The sequence below is a fragment of the Homo sapiens genome, chromosome 9 (genome assembly GCF_000001405.40).
Source record: "Homo sapiens chromosome 9, GRCh38.p14 Primary Assembly".
In the NCBI taxonomy this organism is placed as follows: domain Eukaryota; kingdom Metazoa; phylum Chordata; class Mammalia; order Primates; family Hominidae; genus Homo; species Homo sapiens.
Window position 1 is genome coordinate 27,526,772 of NC_000009.12, and position 19,393 is coordinate 27,546,164.

The following is a 19,393-nucleotide window of genomic DNA, read 5'->3' on the forward strand; positions in this document are numbered from 1 at the left end:
AAAAATGTTTAATCTAACTTGATTTTTAAATGCAAAATAAGATGACAAGATACTCCCATCAGTATGACAGAAAAGAAAAAGAATGACAATATAAAATGTGAGTGGAGTGTAAGGTATAGGAGCCTTTGTGCATTACTGGGAGGAAAGTAAACTGGGACATGTTTTCTACAGGGAAATATGGCAATCTTCAATATCCTAAAGAACGCATCAGCCCCTGTGACCTAGGTATCACGTCTTCCGAAATTTATTCCAAGGAAATAGGTTTATGATATCTCCCCCTTTTACATTCATTTTCACCATTCGATATTTTCTATTTTTTCCTATAGTGATTTTTTTGGGAAGATTTTTAATTCTAAAAGAAACTGTACAAGCTTAACTTCCACTATAATTACCCTGTTTTCCTTAGCGGGGTAGGCCAAGACAAGAAATGCTCTTTTATTTTGTTAATGATGCCTTTGGGTACTTCTTGAGTAACTTTGGTCTTTTTTGTTGCTTCTGGGTTGCTGCTGCTAAATTTCAAAGGAATCCTTCCTTGGGGATCATTTTCATAATGAAATGTTTGTAAAGTGCCTTGCAGTACTTCAAAGATGTTGCTTTTTTTTCTTTTCCTGGTTCCACCGTTGGGAAGGTAAAGAGATATAATACCCAGAAATCACTAGAGAAAGTGCTCTATGTGTCGCATTCCTGGCTTAGCAGTCTCACTTCTTTTATGTTAAATGGAAACTCAAAAGTTCTGTTGAGTTCGCAAAGGGAAAACTCTCAGAGCTGTGCAGAGCCAAGCTTCTGGTATCCACTGACAATGTCTGAGTGGGTACATAGATCATAATGTTCCTACAGAAGCCTCTTTCTTCCCCTGGGTTGAGGAGGAATCAAAAGTGTAATTGAGCTTCCTTGGAAGAGGGACTCATTGGGGATCCCACAGGAAAAGCTGGCAACAGCAAGTCAACTGCAAGGCTATGGGGTAGCATAGGTTCTAACAGGTGCACAGTCTCAGTCAGCCTCCCCTCAGAGGCAAGACAACTCGCTGGGCACCATCTGGGGACCCTGACTTCTCAGAGTAGCTACTTTGCTTTTGCCCCAGTTCTTTAATCAATAATCCACACTAAGAATGAACACAATGTGTAAGCATCTGACTTGTGCAGGGAAACAGGGCCGCCTGCAACCCAACAAGCGCACCCACAGGGGAACTCGGGACCATCCTAAGCCACTTGTTCTCTGGGACGTGGAAGCAGGAACTGTGCTCTAGCCGTATCTGTGTTGCGTCGTCTGAGTCCTCTTTTTCTACAATGAAGAAAGGGGACTTGGGATTTAAACTTGGAGCGGTACTCAAAGCCAGAACTCCACGTTCATTCCGGAGTGAACCACCACACTACTATTTCCAGGCAACGTCATAAGGCTTCCTCGTTATTTGCATCTTCGTTCTCTTTTTGGCGACTAGCCTGCCCTCCCGCCCTTGGAAACTTGTGGACCCCAGAATCTCAGCTTTCCGCCTACCAAAGGTGCCCCGATCCCCTCCCACTGCCCTAGCAGCGGCCCAGCCCCAACGCCTTTGGCTAGAGATTGAAATCCTCTGGAACCAACCACTGGACGCTCTGGATTGGGGCGGAACGCGCTTCCACTGTCTCGAAAGCAGCACCTTCTCGGATTTGAGCCTTTGCGGCGCGCCTGGGCTGAGATCTGAGAAATGCGCCCTGGGCCACAGGCAGCAGCGGAGGCGGGGAAGGAACAACTTTCCCTCCGCCCTCTAACCACAAGGGCGGGGTGGGGCGGCCTCGCTGGGGTCGGGCTCCTCCACTTTCCCAGCTGGGATCCCCTGCCGGAGCTGGCGTGGGGGCCGGGGAGGGGGACCAGAGGGGCTTCCTTCTCTCCCCAAGCCCCGCCAGATGTTGGAAAGGCAAACAATAGGGGAAACGCGGAGAAACAAAAGGCCATTCGCCACGATCTCAGTCGGCTGCGTAGAGAGATCTCTGTGGGGAGGGTTAGGGGAGAGGGTCAGGAAAGAGCGCGAGGGGGGGGATCCCGAGAGATTTAGAGTCTCTGGTACTTGCCAGGCACCAGGGGTCGGCGCTTTACCCTCCCAGCAGGGGTCTGAAGGTGGGAAGGGGCAATCAAAGAAAACTTGAAGGGTTTTCACCTTCTTCCCCAGTTCAGGGAAAGGGAGGGGCTGGGATTCCAGATGTTTGACAGTTGTTGGCCCCAAAGTTAAGCGCGATTTGTACGGCCTTTACACGCTCCCCACCTCCGTGAGGCATCGTCAGCCCCGGGGGCGACCTGGCTGACGGTGCGGACTTCCCCTACGCTGCCCCAAGCCGAGACTCCTCCCTCAGGATCAGGACGCCCAAGCGTTGTCCCCCAGCCCAGGCGCACTTTTGTAAAAGTTTGTCTTCCCGCCACCCACAGCCCAACACGCACCCTGCAGGCGTCCGCGGCTGGGGATGGGCTCGGAGTCTTGCACCCCGAAAGAAGGACGATCTTATTGATTTATATCTTTTCAAATCAAGGACAAATCAAGATCCCGGGGTGGAAAGTGGGCGACCCTTGTTCCTGCCGGGAAGTGCACACGAGGAGCCGGCCAGAAACCCAGGCGCCGGCAGGGGTCTGAAGAGGACTCCAGCCCCGGAAGCCCGTGGCCGGCGGGCAGAAGACCGGTCCGCCGCCTCCCGCACCTTCTTGCACCCGCGCCCAGGTGCGCCCCAAACCTCGCCGCCCGCCCGGGCGAGATCGGGAGCGAGCAGCCACCGGGCTGCGCCGCCTCCCCTAGCTTGGAGCGGGTTCTTACTCACCGTGGGGTTTTACCTCCAGCCCAGGGCCCGGTCGGCTCCCTTCGCCGGGTCAGCTGCAGCCAGCGCGAAAGAAAATGGTGAGCTCGGGGCAGGTGGGGCGTCGCTTGCCAATCCACGCAAGGGACTCTGCCGCCGGTGCGCGAGGTCCCGGCGAGCCAACCGGCGGACGGGCGAGCGCCTGGCTCCAGCTGCAGCCGCCGTCGCTCCGGAGCAGCCCCCTCATGCACCCAGCGCGCCGCGCAGCCGGCCGGGGCTCGACTGTCTCGCGGGGACGCCGAGCGGGGACCCCTGGCGGCCGCCTGCGGTATGGCAGCACCGTGGAGAGAAAAGTCGTCTTTGGGATCATCTTCCCTCCGGAAAGAGATGGGACATGACCAGTCTAAGGGGGCTTCCAGCCTTGCAGAAAAGACACTGGGCCAGGGCAGTGAAGAAGGTGTCAGATCAGAAAGGATGATCTCTGGGTCCACAACGGCCACTTCCAAGGCACCTAGAGAGGGGGAAACAGTTTGCCTTCCCCAGGATTTTCTGATTGTTGAAAAATACCATGAACTGCCTGACACAGAGCGGAGCATAAATCATTGGAAAATACTCAGATTCTAGTGGATTTACTAGAACACACTGGGAGTCATGGATGAACCTGGATTTTAAAGCTCAACCCACAGCCCGCCACTCTCTACTTGTGTGGTCTTGGTCTATCTACAACCTTAAAGCCTCAGTATTCTCCTCCGTAAATTGGCGGGGAGCAATATCACCCTTGCAGGGTGATGGTTACGGGTAAACTACATTTGAAACGTTTTTATAGTTTATAGTAACAGAAATCAAATATGAGCTTCCTGCCTTCTGGAGAAAAAGAATTGGATCTTTCACATTTTTCTATTACCCATATGATCACATCTTAATGCATATTGATTGAACTGTACCAAATGACGAAGTACTGCATTTTACCATTCTTACTACACACTTCAAAGAGGTGTGGAAATATATTAAGTAGAAATTAGGATATATAGAGAAAACATCCCTCCTCCAAAAGAGGTTTCTGCAACTAACTACGAAGTGAGAACTTCTAAAATCACTTACATCTTTTGCAATATCATCTCAGATATTGTAAGAAACATTTAATAAATAGTCATGACTTAATGATATCAACCCTGGATTAAATGACTCTAATTCTGTGTCACTTTTGTGTAATGTAAAGATACCGATTGTGAATATAAGACTCAAATATGGGAAAACTGCCAGATACAAAAATACAGCCGCTAAGCAATATTTCTGTTCATCACCGAGGAATCTCATTTCCAAAGTGCCCCAGTTTTTAAGAGGAAGAACACCAGAGTCAGACAGACCCATAGCAGCTGAGTCTAACCTTTCTGAAGCTCTGTTACCTCATCTTATAAAATGAGGATAATATAGGTAGCTGTCATTCAATGAAGGAATGCATACAACATGCTTAGCATAACACCTGTCACATGGTAAGTGCTCCAGGGTCACCACCTATCATTGTTTCCAGCATACAGTTATCACCCCACCGACATGTAGCCCCTCCCTCATGAGCTCAAGAGCCCCCAGCACGTGTTCTACTCACACACGCACAAGCTTCAGTGTCCCTTAAGATGTTATCTCCTGGAAAGTAGGAACAGAAAGAGAATATTTTCAGGTAGTTTGGAACAGAATGAATAACATTCACATTCCTTGCCCAAGTCAGTACAGATTAATTTCCATCATTTCCAACTCATACTTTATACATTTCCCATAAGAGGAAAATCATGCTGGTTTTCAGTAGCATATGAAAAAAAAAAAATTCCAAGAGGATTCTTTTGCCAAGCCACTTCATTACAGCTTCCCCTTAGAGGATACCAAAGAAGCACAGGGATATTGGAAAGGTGTCACCATAGCAACATTGTAATAGACAGATGACAATAGAGTAAAAGCGAAGAAAGCACATTTGCATAGTCATTGACAAACTTGGACCTACAGTCATATTGCTCTGGGCAGCAGTGCTCAGAGTCCAAGGGCTACTCAAAGTAAATTTGGTAAGAGGCTATTTCTATTCATTTTGGCTGAGTCTGACTACCCAGTTCATTGTGCTCATGTGTGTGCTAATTGTAATTGTTACAGGCAGTTCACTAACAAACAGCAGACATCCTCAAGAGTCCCTTTCATCCTAAGCAATGTGAGTTCACAAATCTAAATGTGTACCTAATAAATCTTCAATAGTAAAGCGTACTTCCTCCTTACCTGCTTCTGTTTTGTTTTCAAAACCTTAAATAGTCACAGGTATAGAGAAATTGTCTCAATGCTTATGGGAGCTTCTGTGATAACTTATGTTAATTAACTCTGGGTACTGAAAAGAAACAAACGTGCATGGCTTCCCCTAAGCACTGAGGTAATGGCAATTCAAATAACAGCAAATTTATATATGTGATATACACAGATTTATATATATATAAATATATCACATATAGATATATAAGAAGACATCATATATATATACACACACATTTTAGAGATCATATATATCTTTTAAGCAATTTCAAACCATACAAGAATCCATATATGATCTTAAGGCATAATTTCTGCCAGCATACTTCTCAACATTTATAATGACACTAAATGTCTATAGTCGTTTCCTCTGAAATGCACATTACATCAATCCCTTTTTGTGAAAGTGGAACTAAGGCATAAAAAGGTCAGAGTTCAGGAGCTGGGAAGAACATATGACAGTGTTCAAAGTTGTTTCAGTGACAGCTGAACAAGATAGTGTCATGTGGAATCATAATGGACAATTATCTGCTTTCTGGTCTATAGGAATAGAGTGAGTGTTCTTTCCCAAGTTTAAAAAAAAATTATTGAAAAGAGACTGTACTCTTTCTTCCTGCTCTTAGAATCTGTTTTGTTTATAGTGACCCAATGCTCCTTCATATCTATCAGATGGTATTTTTTTCTTATTTAAAAATACCCATGTGGTTGAGGCTGCAGTGAGCTATGATTGCACCACTGCACTCTAACCTGGGCAATGAGACCCTGTCTCAAAAAAAAAAAAAAAAAATAGTTTGTATCCTTAATAAGCGACCCTTCTTCTCAAGAGATGAGCCTGATGTTTCTGTCTGGCTTAACATTAGCCAGGTGTGGTACACTTGTGATCTGCCTCAGTATTCTGAGTAATGGAGAGGAGTTCTCTCACTGTGAAACAGGTCAACTTAGATACGATCCAAAAAGGGTTAGTTGCCAGGAGAACCAAAGTCTAAGGTAGTCATATCTACAAGCCCATAGCCTGGACCCCCAAATTAATCCTACAGTGAGACTTTAGCACCTTTCACAAGTGGAGAAATCAGACCACTGTGTGCTCAATGGGTTTGGAATGTTGTGCTTTCAAAGTAATTAATACAGAAAGGCATAGAAAGATAGAGAAGAGACTAGTGACTCATGGATGCTTCCAACGTGATATAACGCCCCTTTCTCTTCTAAATAGTAAAATAATGAAGATCTCAAAGAGACTTTCTCTCTTTGAGAAACACAGCTTTACTGCTTTTGTGATCAATGCCCACTGCCCTCACCAACAAATCAGTCATTAATTCCCAACTGCCTTGCATTGCAAATATAGAAAAAAAGGTTTTTGGATCTCCTTAGCTCTCTTTGAATGTCTATAGGAAAGAAATGAAGGAAGTAAACTTTTCTACTGCCAGACTGAAGGTAGATTTTGATAAACTTGGAACCTCTCCAAATCACCCTCTACCCTCCTGGCATAGAAAATAAACAAGATTTTTCCCTTTACATCATAATTAAGGAAAGAGACAAAAATGAAGGTATCATCCAACCTGATCTTCTTTAGCCTCTAGCTGTTCTAACGACACAGAACTATTTTCTCAAGATTCCAATTAGGTTTGCTATACTGCTCAATATTAATTTCCTCTTAAGAAGCTACTTCACCATTTGGAAAGCCCCTTGGGTTGAATAATTATTGAATTTCTAAATGGCCTCTGGCTAGCCTCAATTGCATGAGTGTTTCATGTACAGTAAGTAATATGAAAGAGGCTTGCCTTGGGTATTGAACAGCCTCTAATGATGCTTTTCAGAGGGAAAAAATCCCTCTGAAAAGATTTTTGGAAAAGTTTCAGTTAAATTTTTCCCAAGTCTTCTTGTCTACTGCTCAGCAGAGTCTCTGTAGAAATGAATAGATAACTTCCTTCCTTCATTTTTCCCTTCCTTTTTTCTTTCTTTTATCCTGCCCTCTTCCGTCTTTGTTTCTTTCTCTTCTCTTCTCTGTTAGAGGATTTATGATAGCTAGGTAACTCATTAAGGTTTCTATCCAGTGTCCCAGAAGAATAATTCTTCTTTTTAATAAAATGAATTACATTTTCATTCCCTTTCCTTGTCTTTTTGTTTTCCTGTGTTCTTTTTGGTTTCTTTCAGCAGATGATAAACGATGTTTTCCTTTGAAATTGCTTCTCACTCCTGCTCAGACGGTCAGCATGAGAAGTCAAAAGGAAAGCATACACACTAGTAAGAGAATCAGGGCGTGGAAAAGGGTCTCTAAGACCCCAACCCCCAAGAAGGAGATGGAGACCCAAACATGCCAGTCATCAGTTTGAGGCTCATAGCTTGTTAGTTTAGAGCCAGATTTTGTACTTGTAGTTTGAGGAGCACAGCTTGTTAGAATCCAGATCTCATGGCTTTTAATCCAGAAATATTTCTTTGTTTGGGAGTTGTTTTTCATTGTTGCTGTTGGCCAGTAATTACGGTACTCTTGTGAAAAGGCTGTTTTATAGGTCAGTTATTTGGAAAGGCCGTTTTCCGTTTGTTTGGTACTGAATAAATGTGCTTGCCTTGTTCATTTGGCAATGTCCTGAGCTCCTCAATCTCTCAGTCCCTTCTTTTAGAAACAATGGTTTGCCTACAGGATGCCAGGTGCTTTTCTCAGGGCCCTGCTCCTGTTATATTTGATTTCTCTGTCAACCTTTTTACACTACTACATACGCCCAGAGTGACAGAAAAAAGGGAGAAGAGAAAGAAAGCAAAAGGAAACGAGAAAAGGAAGTTGAAAGCAAAAGAGGAAAGAAGGAAGGAAGGGAGGGTGGGAGGAAGGAAGGGAGGAAGGGAGGGAGAGATGTTGAAGATCACCAGTGACTTATACAGGAAAATTAATGATCAGATATCCTTTGTTAAATTTTAATACTGGCAGTCATGTCTGTTATTAGGGAATCCAAAAGTGATGAAAAGCAATCTCCCTTCCTTCTCCTCTGCTCTCCCCACTCCTACCCTACTACGCCCCAGGTTATACTTCACTGCATCTACTTGGATGATGACATAGGAGTCTGGCATTATGTTTCCTTAAAATTTGTCTGCCTTTTGTGGGGTTTGGTTGCCAACCACCCCTCTTATCCTACCTGCAATTTCCTCATTCCTTGTTTTATTTTTAGAAGAACACACCTACCCAGACACTCATTCTTTTTTACAAGTAGTCTAGTTGAAATGTGTTGACCTTGACCCCTATCGGCAGAACTGCTCAGCTGACCCATTGACTCTTGAGAAATAATAAGTAGTTGTAGTTTTAAGGTGCTACATTTTGGAGTGATTTGTTATGCAGTTTTATTGTGGCAATAAATAACTGATACAGATAATGTGGTGATCTTGATGAATACAAGAGTGCCTGGCCCGTAAGTAGACACTCAATAAATGTTGGACTGGAATGAACTGGCAAATAGAGTAAATTAATATTCATCAATAGGGGCTTAATTAAATATGTTGTGACATAGCCTAACAATGGAACACAATGCAGGTATTAAAAACAATGAATAAAAATTCAATGAGTTGATGGCTTAGGATTTGTATATTTGTCTGTGTATTATATTACATATCAGTAAAGAAAGCCTGTATACAAAGCAGCATGATAGCCTTTTAATATTAAAAAATCTACAATGTATATATTCATAGGAAAGTATCTGGAAGTACATATACCAAGATGTTGACAATGGTTCTCTAGGTAGAATCATAACAGGTTAATTTAAAATTTTTTCTATACTTCTTTATTTTATTTGAAGACGTTCAACTTTATTTTTTATAATAACAAAAGAGTAAGGTGATAAGATACTCTTTTCCTGAGTCCAGGACACATGGGGTGAGCTACCCTGATATGACATTTTCTCTTTCTCTCCCCAAAGCACAATGAAGATCTTGAAGGGCACACAGAGAGAGGGAAGGCAACAGAGGCAGGCTTTGTTGGACACCAAATGAATGTACTGAGCCATTGTTCCAAGACAGCTCTGTATTTTAAAGCTCAGCATGGGCCAAATTCAACCTCTGGATGAAATATGTGATTCTTGTGGCATTGTCAGAAGTGGCAAATGGATTCTCTCCTCCTAAATGTGGTGTGACTCTCCCATCAACCACAGGTAGCAAGTAACGGCACACTTGCCACGACCTCTACTGTCTGCTTTCTGTATCACTGCCTCAATCATGCCCCTCCTCTTGCCTTGTCTTGGTGAAGAGTGCCTGGCCAGCAGCCCTGCCTACCTCTCTCTTCTGGCCCTAGCGCCTTGCTCCAGCCCATGTGGTTCCAGCAAGCTCCACTTCAAGGGGCCCACCCTCCAGGGCATGTTCCAAGCATCACCAACCAGAGGGCTTCTTCTCTGAGAATTTATACATGGACCTTGAGGTCAGCAAGCAAGGATGATATAAGCCAGAGTTCTCTGCAGCCATCCCCTTTTCACCTCTCTCAGTTACGGATGAACTTATCTGTAAAATGGGAAAAAGAAACGACAAGAGAAGCACAGCTGAGAGAAACACCAAAAGAAAGAGTTGAAGACATTGTTTGAATTCCTGCATCCAGTAGTGCCCAAAGCCAGTGCCAACCCTGGAATTCCTAGCTACAAGAGCCAATGAAGTCCCTTTTGCTTTAGTTTGAGGTGGGCTCCTGTCACTTGCCACAGAAACTAGGAGAAAGCACAGTGTCTGTGCTGCAGTGAGAGAGGGCTAAAGTCCTCAGGGACAACCAATAAAGCACGAGAGCCAATGAATAAATACTTGAGGTGAGCAATTACAGGAGGCATTCTTTACATTTCTTAGAGAGCCAAGCAAAATTTAGCCCCAGTTGCCTGAAGTGGCCATATATATTATTATTAATAATGAATATAGTCAATAACCTGTAGGCAGCTCAGAAAAAATCTCAGTCATTAAGTGTTAAAGTACATTTGAGACCATTTGCCTCAGCATCTAGTGCAGCTCCGGATACACACAACGTGGAGGGCAGGGAACTAACATTTGGTGAGCACCTACTATGGGTTAGGACCTGTGCTGGACATTTTCACATACATTAGTTCATCTATTCCTCCCGAAGATCTTGGATGGTGGGTATTATTACCTTCATTTTGGAGATTAGGAAACTTGCCTAAGGTTCATACAGAGCTTCTTCGGTGCTCTCAATCATGACTGTTCCCTTGCATCCATCCCCTCTGTAAGAACTGAGATTAGCGTTTAGGGAGTTATAGCTGGTGCAGTAGACACCTCAGATGCCCTGTGTCACATCTCTTGACACATCTCTGATTTCAGTGCACTTATGATGTGGCCTCTTTCCCAGATCTCAAGCACGCAGCAGTCATTATTTCACTATCTGCCCCGGGACGGTTTCCACAGATGCAGGAGCTTGCTCAGCCTAGGAGAAAGCACAGTGTCTGTGCTGCAGCGAGGGAGGGCTAAAGTTCTCATGGACAACCAATGGAGCATGAGAGCCAATGAATAAATACTTGAGGTGAGCAATTACGGGAGGCATTCTTTACATTTCTTAGAGAGCCAAGCAAAATTTAGCCCCAGTTGCATGAAACGGCCAATTGCCAAATTCATCCTTATATTGACTTTTCCTCCTTCGTGTTGCAGGCTGACTGATCTCTCATTCCCACTTCCTGGAATCACCTCCCAAACAAACTAACTGCATACTAGTCCTTGTCTCAGGCTCTGATAGTGTGGGATTCCAAACTGGAAATGAAGACCATCTTGTGTACTGACTAGTGAAGGAAAACGTTATTGTTGTGAAGTCTGTAATAAAATAAGCTCAGCTTAAACCAGCAAGAGCAATTCCAAGCTAGGAACTATATTAAGAAATAGTCTCTTACATAGAACCCCCTTTGAGAAAATATACTCAAAGTCTATAACTTAAACATGCCTGGAAGGAAATACATCAAAATATTATTTATTATAATTCAATATATCATATTATTATATTAATTATTCTTCTCTTCTGAGTAAATTTTCAATGGACATTCCCCAGATGTTCCTCACTTCTCTTATCTATCAGTCTTGATCTGCCCCCTGGGGAATCACAATTCTTGTCACTGCAGTTAATAACCTTTTTTTTTTTTTTCTGTGACTCAAATTAGGTAGAAGATACTTAGCCATCATTCTCCACTTGGAAGGCAGCACAGCATGTTAGTTCAGAGTATGGTGTGGGCAACAAAAGAAGGTCAAATTCTAGTCATCTGGGTCACTTGGTCTGTCACCCAGGTTTTGCTGTGGAAACAAACAACTGCTTGTGATCATTAATTTTTAAATATGGACTAGGCTAAGGGATACCGAGATAGCTGGTAAAACATTATTTCTGGATGTGTCTGTGAAGATGTTTCTGGAAGAAATTAGCAGACTGAGTATAGAAGATCCACCCTTACCAATGTGGGAGGGCATCATCCAATCCATTGAGGGCCCAGAGAGGACAAAAAGGCAGAAGAAAAGCGAATTTGCTCTCTCTTCTGGTGCTGAAACATCCACCTTCTGGCTGGCCTTTGAACTTCAGGACTTATCCTACCCTAGCACACCCACCCTCCCAATTCCCCCATCCCATTTCTCAGGCCTTCAGGCTTGGGCTGAATTATACCACTGGCTCCTCTAGTTCTCCAGCTCAAAAACAGCAGACTGGGGGACTACTCAGCTTCCATAATCATGTAAGCCAATTCCCATAATGAATACCACTCCCCCACTCTGTTTCTCTTGAGAACCATGATTAATGATTAATATAACTCCAAAACTTAGTGGCTTAAAACTGCAAAGATTAATGCATGGCTTATGCAGCATGCACATCTTGATGGGGGTGGGAAAGGGGGCTCTGCCCATAGCTCCCACTATAGGACCTAGCCTGCAGAGCGCCACTATCTGGAATGTTAGTGGCCACTGTGGCAGAGTGAAAAGGAGGCAAAGCTCATGCAAAGCCTTCCATCTGAAAGTGATAAACGCTGCTTGTTCATGTTTCATTGGCCAAAGAGAGTCATGTGGTCATGCACAAGTTTCACTGAAAGGGAAAGGGCAATCTGCCTTGCAGATAAGAAAGGAGAAAAAAAGGGGGAGATTTTGAAAATGATTGTCCGATTTGGACAATCATTTAACCTAAGCTTCAGTGTTCTCATCATGTACTGAGGGGATATCCACTTTACAAGGTTATTATGAGGGTTAAATGTGAAACTGTAAAGTACCTGGCACACAGCCATTACTCAATAAATGCTGCTATTTTGACAGTGATCCTTTGTTTACCTGAAATATAATATTAAGATTTACTCCAATCTTTCCTACATCTCTGGGAGTAAAAAACTCTTGAATCTTTTTCTGGAGGTTGCATTTTCTAGTCTTTAAAAATGAGTCCAGTGCCTTTTCCCTGAATTTCTCCAAATTCTGACCATTCTAAGATATGGGTTCTAGCTCAGTGCTCCTCACACAGAAAGGTTCTAGTAAGGAATGAGAAAATACTTTCTGCTTTAAAGAAGAGCTACGCAAATATTAAATGAGAATAATTATATCTATTATTTATGGCGAATATTATTCTAGTACTCAGAAAAACTCAGCATAAGTTCATTAGAACAGTATGGGCCACATTAGAAAGAACATATTATCATTATGTTTGAAAAGCTAGGACTGGGTACAAAGTTACTACGATCGTATGGGCTTAGTTGGCCAAGTATGTTATTACAGTTTCAATGGAACCATCATCTTGTCAACAGAACACACAGTGAAACCTGCAGGGCCTTCCTCTGGCTTCATGACAGTGAGTAGACTCTCGCTTTCCCTAGGGAAGGCAGGGGCCTGGTAGGGTCTGAGCAAGAGCCTGAGGCATAGACTGTGCCCACCCTCCCCTTCTCCCTCCACTCATGCCAGTTTTTGGTTTAGAAAGCCAGCATTTTGAATATCAAGTCTCAAGACTTTCTCATTGTCCTCAGGGTGGGTTGCTGCCCCCCACACCCTCCTTGTTCCCATATGAAGGTCATTGACCCCTAGTTTTGTAAGGTGTTTATTCTTGCAGAATTTGGACCAGGGACTTTCTGTTCAGCAAATGATTCAGTGCATGTAGACCCTGAGGTTGTTTACATTTTCAGGAACTGCTATTGCGAAACTAAAAAGGTTTATTTTACGTAGTGGGGTTGCTTTTGCCAGATGAATTCATTTGCTCAAGTTATTTTTAAAATGTGCTTTCCCTTAGCTCCTTAGAGAAGCTCTGGTCTCTTGCCTGTGTGGGTCTAGGCCAGAAAAAAAAAAAATGTTGAGGCTATTAATGGAAGCCAGAGAAAATGTCTGGCCAAGGTGGATCAAAGAAGGTTCTCAGTTTTGACCCCAAATTTTAACTTTCTGAATGCCGGGCTAGCATACTAGCTGGTCCTGGCTCCAGCAGCTTAAATGACTCATGTGCCTAGAACCAGGAAGACCATGCATATGAGTTTCAAACTGCTCCTACAGGTATGTGTGGAAGGGGGACCCCTATGACAGAATATTCATCCAGAAGAAACTTGCCCTGCTGCCAATTGGAAGTGCCACAGTCCAGCAGCAGTGAGACTGCTGGAAGCAGTCAGATTGCAGAGCACAAACTCTCTAACTCATCGGGGTCAAGTGGCCTGAAATGATTCATCAGGCTGCTTTGCAAACATTTTATTTAACAATTGATATTTAGAAATAATTTTTTATGACAGTTTCTTATCTTTTGGGGGAATCAGAGACCCCTTTGAGAATCTGAGGAAGGCTATGGAGAAATATCTGATGAAGCCTGTGGGAAAAAAAACTGCCATCCAGAAAAATGTATATATGCAAGCTGTCCCTTAAAATGTTAGTGGTATCATTGGGATGACATCCAAAAATTGTCAGGGAAGTCCGTAAATCCCCTTGCTTCAGAATTTGGGGAAACTTTAAACCTCAGATTAATGGTATGTAGATACTATTCATTCATTCAGAGCTTACTGACTTCCTGTGTCATGGCAAGCACTATGTTGGAAGCTGGAAATACAATGATGTATAAGACAAGGACACAGCCTTGTGGAGCTCACAGTCTAATGGGAGACAAAACAAACCCATAATAATGATGCATGATAATGAGTTAAGTGCTATGCTAGAACTGTAAGTGTAGAAGCAAACAAGAGCCCCAAGTAGGGTAATCAATTCAATATATATTTAATAAATGCATTACGTGCCAGGCAGTTGGGAATAAGCTGGTGCATAGACAAGATCCCTATCCCATGGAGCCTTAAGTCTGGAATACTCTCAACTAAAAGTTAGAGGAGGGGCCTGGAAGAACATGATGCCCACCTAAGGTGAATCCTAAGTAAAGTTCACCCAGGTGAAGTGGGTAAGCGTATTGCAGGTAGTGGGAGCAACACGCACACAGGCCCAGTAACAGCAAGGTGAGTCAGGGGAAACTACAAATAGTTCATCAGGGCTCTCCATGAAGGCAGGAGCAGTGAGAGACAAGGGTGGAGAGGTGTGCTGGGGGCAGATCCCCAAGGCTCCTGTGCTTCACCATGGATTGTGGGTTGAAGGTTGTCAATGAGGGCTTTTTTTTTTTGAGACGGAGTCTCACTCTGTCGCCCAGGCTGGAGTGCAGTGGCGCAATCTCGGCTCACTGCAAGCTCTGCCTCCCGGGTTCACGCCATTCTCCTGCCTCAGCCTCCCAAGTAGCTGCGACTACAGGCACCCGCCACCACGCCTGGCTAATTTCTTGTATTTTTAGTACAGATGGGGTTTCACTGTGTTAGTCACGATGGTCTCAATCTCTTGACCTCGTGATCCACCTGCCTCGGCCTCCCAAAGTGCTGGGATTACAGGCATGAGCCACCACGTCCGGCCTCAATGAGGGCTTTTTAAGGCAAGTCAGGAGTTTCCTATTAGAAAGATCACTCTACCATAAATGGAGAAAATTGGGCAAAGGGGAGGGGATGGCTAGTGGGTGAAATCATGGAGACTAGAAGGAAGGAAGCTGTTGAATTAATCTAGACAAGAAATGATAAGGTCCTAATAGTGGCAGTGGAGATGGAGTAAAGTGGACGATGGGAAAATGGGATGAGGCCTCTGGAGAGCAGCTCACAGGCAATTTTTTTTTCATTCCCTACAATGACATTTGCCTACGGCAACACACTCTGCCACATGCAATGAGGTAGTGACTGGCTCAAGCTAAGGAAATAATCTTGTTACTGACGTGGTATCACCGGGAATCATGGCTGTATAACTGTAGTTTCATAATCAAATTTTGGAACTCTACATTTAATTGCTTAATGGTGATGATGATTATGACAGGAATAATACTGATAATAGCTGCAACCCAATTTTATTGGACACTTATTCTGTGCTAGTTACTGTTCCAAGCATTCTGAATTTACTAACCCACTTAATCTTCAAGTGACTCTATCGGGTAGGTTCTATTCTTACTCTTAAAGAATAGATGAGGACACTGAGGCAGCACAGACAGGTTTAATACCTTGTCTAAGGTCACACAGCTAGGAAGTGAGAAAATAAGGATCTGAGCCTTGGAAATCTGGTTCTAGGACGCAAACTTCCAAAAATTCTCCTATCAATTTACAATGACAAACATAAATTATGGTCTTTCTCCATAAAACTCAATTTGAGCACTAAAACTGACTTTTTACCATTTGTTATGAACATTCTGAACAATCACAATAAAAAGTAGTGCGGAGACACTATTCAAGTCTCTAAAAACATCTTAGGAGTGGTACATGAAGCAAAATGCTGGGTGTGAGTGTTTTTGCAGATTCAGGCTCCAAAGAACAAAAAAGCAGAAAAAACAAACAATGGTGTTTTTAAACAATGAATGTTGTTTTCCTTTAGCCATAAGGGAATTTTAAAACTTGACAAACTCATTCAGCTTTCAAAGCATTCCACATTCCCCACCCACAAGCAAATGCCAGAAGGTGCCAGTTTGAGCCAACTCAGCTCAGGAATGACTTTCTAAATACTGGATCAGATTTCTTGAATGTCCGCGCTCCACAGATGGATACTTACTATTGTCCTAATTGGTCTGATGAAAAGTACTTAGCAATTTATCAAGCAATTAATTTAACAAAAACATTTCAGCAAGAGATGAGATGGTGTGGCACAAATGCAGAAACAGAAATTTGAAAAGATTCAAATGTATTACTTCAAAAAGATTGAAAAATTGCTGCCTAAAATCTTTGAAACTTTAGAGCTAGGTTGTGCATAGGCTTAATTTTTAATGAAGAATCTTCTGGGAAAATAAGTTTTTGATTATATAAAGAAAGCAATTTCCTTGATTTGCAGGAAATAATTCTTTTTGGGGAAAAACAAATAAATTAATATTTAATATACTCATTACATCCATCCAGCTAACATTTACTGGAAGCATGCTGTGTGCCTGGCACCATGCTAGGCACTGAGACACAAAAATGAAAAAGACAAGAATCTTGTTCTTTAGCCTAGGTGGGGAGATAGATAAGCAAAGGAATAGTGTAATAAATGCAATAAAAGAAATACGTACTAGCTAGACCTGTGGGAAGAAAGGTTAGAAAGATGAACAGAAACTGTGCTAGAATTTTGGACCTAATTCTGTAAGTGTTGGAGAGCCATTAAGCAGAAGTGATCGTTAGATTTAATTTTAGAAGGATCATGCTGTTATCAATGTGAAGAATGGGCTGTAGTGGGGAAACGCCAAAGGCAGATTCTGTTCCACTCTTCATAAAAATCGTACCACAGCACTCTGATACCCTTTTTGCTCTCTAATCCATTTCTCTTTTCCCCCCAACACAGATAATTTAGAAATTATTTAGTCTTTTAAAAGCGCTGGTGTCCAAGTTTTTGAGGTTTTCCCAGATATTTGTTATTGGTTAATAATTTAATTCCATTGTGGTCAGAGAACATATTTTCTATGACTTGAATCCTTTTAAATTTATCAAGATTTGTTTCATGGCTCAAAATACGGTCTATCTTGGTACATGTTTCATGTACTCTTGGAAAGAATGTGTGATTTATTGTTGTTGGGGACTGCTGTGCTCTACAAATGTCATTTAAGTCAAATTGTTTGATAGTCTTGTTCTAATCTTCTATATCCTTACTGATTTTGTGTATTCTTGTTCTACTAAACATTGAAAGGATATTAAAATCTCCAGGCTGCGTGCAGTGGCTCATGCCTGTAATCCCAGCACTTTGGGAGGCCGAGGCAGGCAGATCACGAGGTCAGGAGATCGAGACCATCCTGGCTAACACGGTGAAACCCCGTCTCTACTAAAAATACAAAAAAATTAGCCAGGCGTGGTGGTGGCCGCCTGTAGTCCCAGCTACTGGGGAGGCTGAAGCAGGAGAATGGCGTGAACCTGGGAGGCGGAGCTTGCAGTGAGCTGAGATCCTGCCACTGCACTCCAGCCTGGGCGACAAAAAAAAAAAAAAAAAAAATCTCCAAACATAATTGTGGACTTGTCTACTTCTTACAGTTCTATCAGTTTTTGCTTCATCTATTTTGACACAGCTATGAGGTGAAAAAACATTTAGGACTGTTATATCCTTTTGCTGAACTGACTCTTTTATCATTATAAAATGATCATTTTTACCCCTGGTAATATTCTTTGCTCTGAAATCTATTTTGTTTCATATTGTCACTCCAGTTTTCTTCTAATTACCAATATGATGTATCTTTTCTCCATCCTTTTACTTTTAATCTGTTTGTTCGTCCTTTATTTTTAAGGTGTGTTTCCTGTTGGCAGCATATAGTTGGGTCTTGCTTTTTTATCTGATCTGAAAATCTGATTTTTTAAGGACATTTCTAAAATTGAAAAATAAAAGTTGTATATATTTATAGCATACAATATGATGTTTTGAAATAAGTATACATTGTGAAATGACTACAGTTAATTAATATATACATTACCTCACATATTTATTTGTAGAGAGAACACTTAAAAGATACTGTTAGCAATTTTCAAGTGTACAATATATGTTGTTGGTTATAGTCACATTGTACAATAGATCTCTTGATCTTTAGCTTATTCCTCCTATCTAACTGAATAAGTTGTACAATAGATCTCTTGAACTTATTCCTCCTGTCTAACTTTGACCAACATCTCCCCAGCCCACCGCCTCTCCCCAGCACCTGGTAACCATGTTTTTACTCTCTGCTTCTATGAGTTCCAAGTTTTTCAATTCTGTGTGTAAGTGAGATCATGTGGTATTAACAATCTCTGACTTTTAATTGGGGTGTTTTGAATGTTTATATTTAAATATCTTTAAAAGATAATTGACTGTATAAGTAAAATTAAAAAACAATAAAGTGTGGAGTTTATAATGTTTGTAGAAATAAAAACGTTAAGACCATAACAGCAAAAAGACAACAACAGTAAGTTTCTTAAGCTATATGTCAAGTAGTATATAAACTGGTTATAAACTGGTAAATTAGAAAGAGGTATAACCCTAAAACAACCACTAAAATAAATCAAAGAGTATAGTTAATAAGACAATAGAAAAGACATAGTAGAATAAAAAAATCCAAAAGTAAGGAGAAAACAAAAAGAACAAATAGAAAACAGCAAGATGACAGCTTTAACCTACCATGCCAATAATCATATTAAATGTTCTAAATGCCCCAATTACAAGCTGGAGATTGTCAGATTGGATGAAAAAGCATTTATGAAGCACTAGTCAGGTACTGAACTAAGGATCGTATAAGGTCTCATTAAATCCTCTGGTGAAGTACGTATTATCACTCCATTTCCAATATTTACAAAATGAACCTTGCATAGGTTAAGTAACTTCTCCAAGCAGCACAGCAGGGATTCACACTCGGGCTCTGAATAGTGCAAGTAGACCTGTAAAACCTGCTTCCTTACTCTCCTTTCAATTCAGCTACACTGAGTACCAGTTACATGGAGTTACTAAGTTAGGAGCTGTGCCCATGGCAATGACTGTAACTGTCTGGGATGAAATCCACCTTTACCAGCTGTGTGACCTTGGGCGGTGTATTACACATCTTTAAGCTTTAGTTTCCTCATTTGTAAAATGGAAGTAATAAAACTAGTCCCATAGTGTTACTGTGTGTTAAATGGAGGTGGTTGACTGTTTTTGTTACTTTAAGCTATACCCTGCAGATCATAGGAGAAATATCAATTTGTGCAATTCTACATCAAAATCAAAATAGTATTATATAAGAGTGATCTGTTTAAACTGTAGCATTATAGAAATATACTATAGAAGGAACTATTTTATATTTACTTTATAGTATTATATGAAGTTTTGGTTTCTTCTTTGAGAATCATAGTAATGTGATCAGTTAGTCTTCTTTTAAAGAAACCTCTCATCCCAACTATTCTATTTTCAAAAAAAAACTTTTTCTTGGAGTGAAAATGTCAAACCTATTC

The 19,393-nt window shown here is 41.9% G+C and overlaps 2 protein-coding genes across 2 annotated transcripts in view, besides 3 other annotated features; one reads left to right on the plus strand and one right to left on the minus strand.

The window, feature by feature from the left end:
* The window catches only part of MOB3B (MOB kinase activator 3B), a 204,606-nt gene extending 201,563 nt beyond the window's left edge, over positions 1–3,043 (minus strand). Inside the window, exon 1 of the mRNA NM_024761.5 lies at positions 2,784–3,043. The gene's annotated coding sequence lies outside the window, so the exon portion shown is untranslated. The remainder of the gene's footprint in view (positions 1–2,783) is intronic.
* Positions 1,685–3,929, plus strand: LOC124902107 (dapper homolog 3-like). Its single transcript, XM_047424279.1, has 2 exons — positions 1,685–1,955; positions 2,249–3,929. Exons 1-2 carry the CDS (start codon positions 1,685–1,687, stop codon positions 3,235–3,237), a joined length of 1,260 nt encoding a protein of 419 aa, XP_047280235.1. The 3' UTR covers positions 3,238–3,929.
* Positions 1,771–1,820: a silencer, noted in NCBI's record as "silent region_19820". NCBI's record gives its function as "represses an Ori minimal core promoter by ATAC-STARR-seq in GM12878 lymphoblastoid cells {active_cell/tissue: GM12878}" and the evidence as "EXISTENCE:reporter gene assay evidence [ECO:0000049][PMID:35858748]".
* Positions 2,791–3,090: a silencer, noted in NCBI's record as "silent region_19821". NCBI's record gives its function as "represses an Ori minimal core promoter by ATAC-STARR-seq in GM12878 lymphoblastoid cells {active_cell/tissue: GM12878}" and the evidence as "EXISTENCE:reporter gene assay evidence [ECO:0000049][PMID:35858748]".
* Positions 9,020–9,314: a silencer, noted in NCBI's record as "tiled region #13504; HepG2 Repressive non-DNase unmatched - State 13:Ctcf, and K562 Repressive DNase matched - State 13:Ctcf". NCBI's record gives its function as "represses a minimal TATA promoter and a strong SV40 promoter by Sharpr-MPRA in HepG2 and K562 cells {active_cell/tissue: HepG2 | K562}" and the evidence as "EXISTENCE:reporter gene assay evidence [ECO:0000049][PMID:27701403]".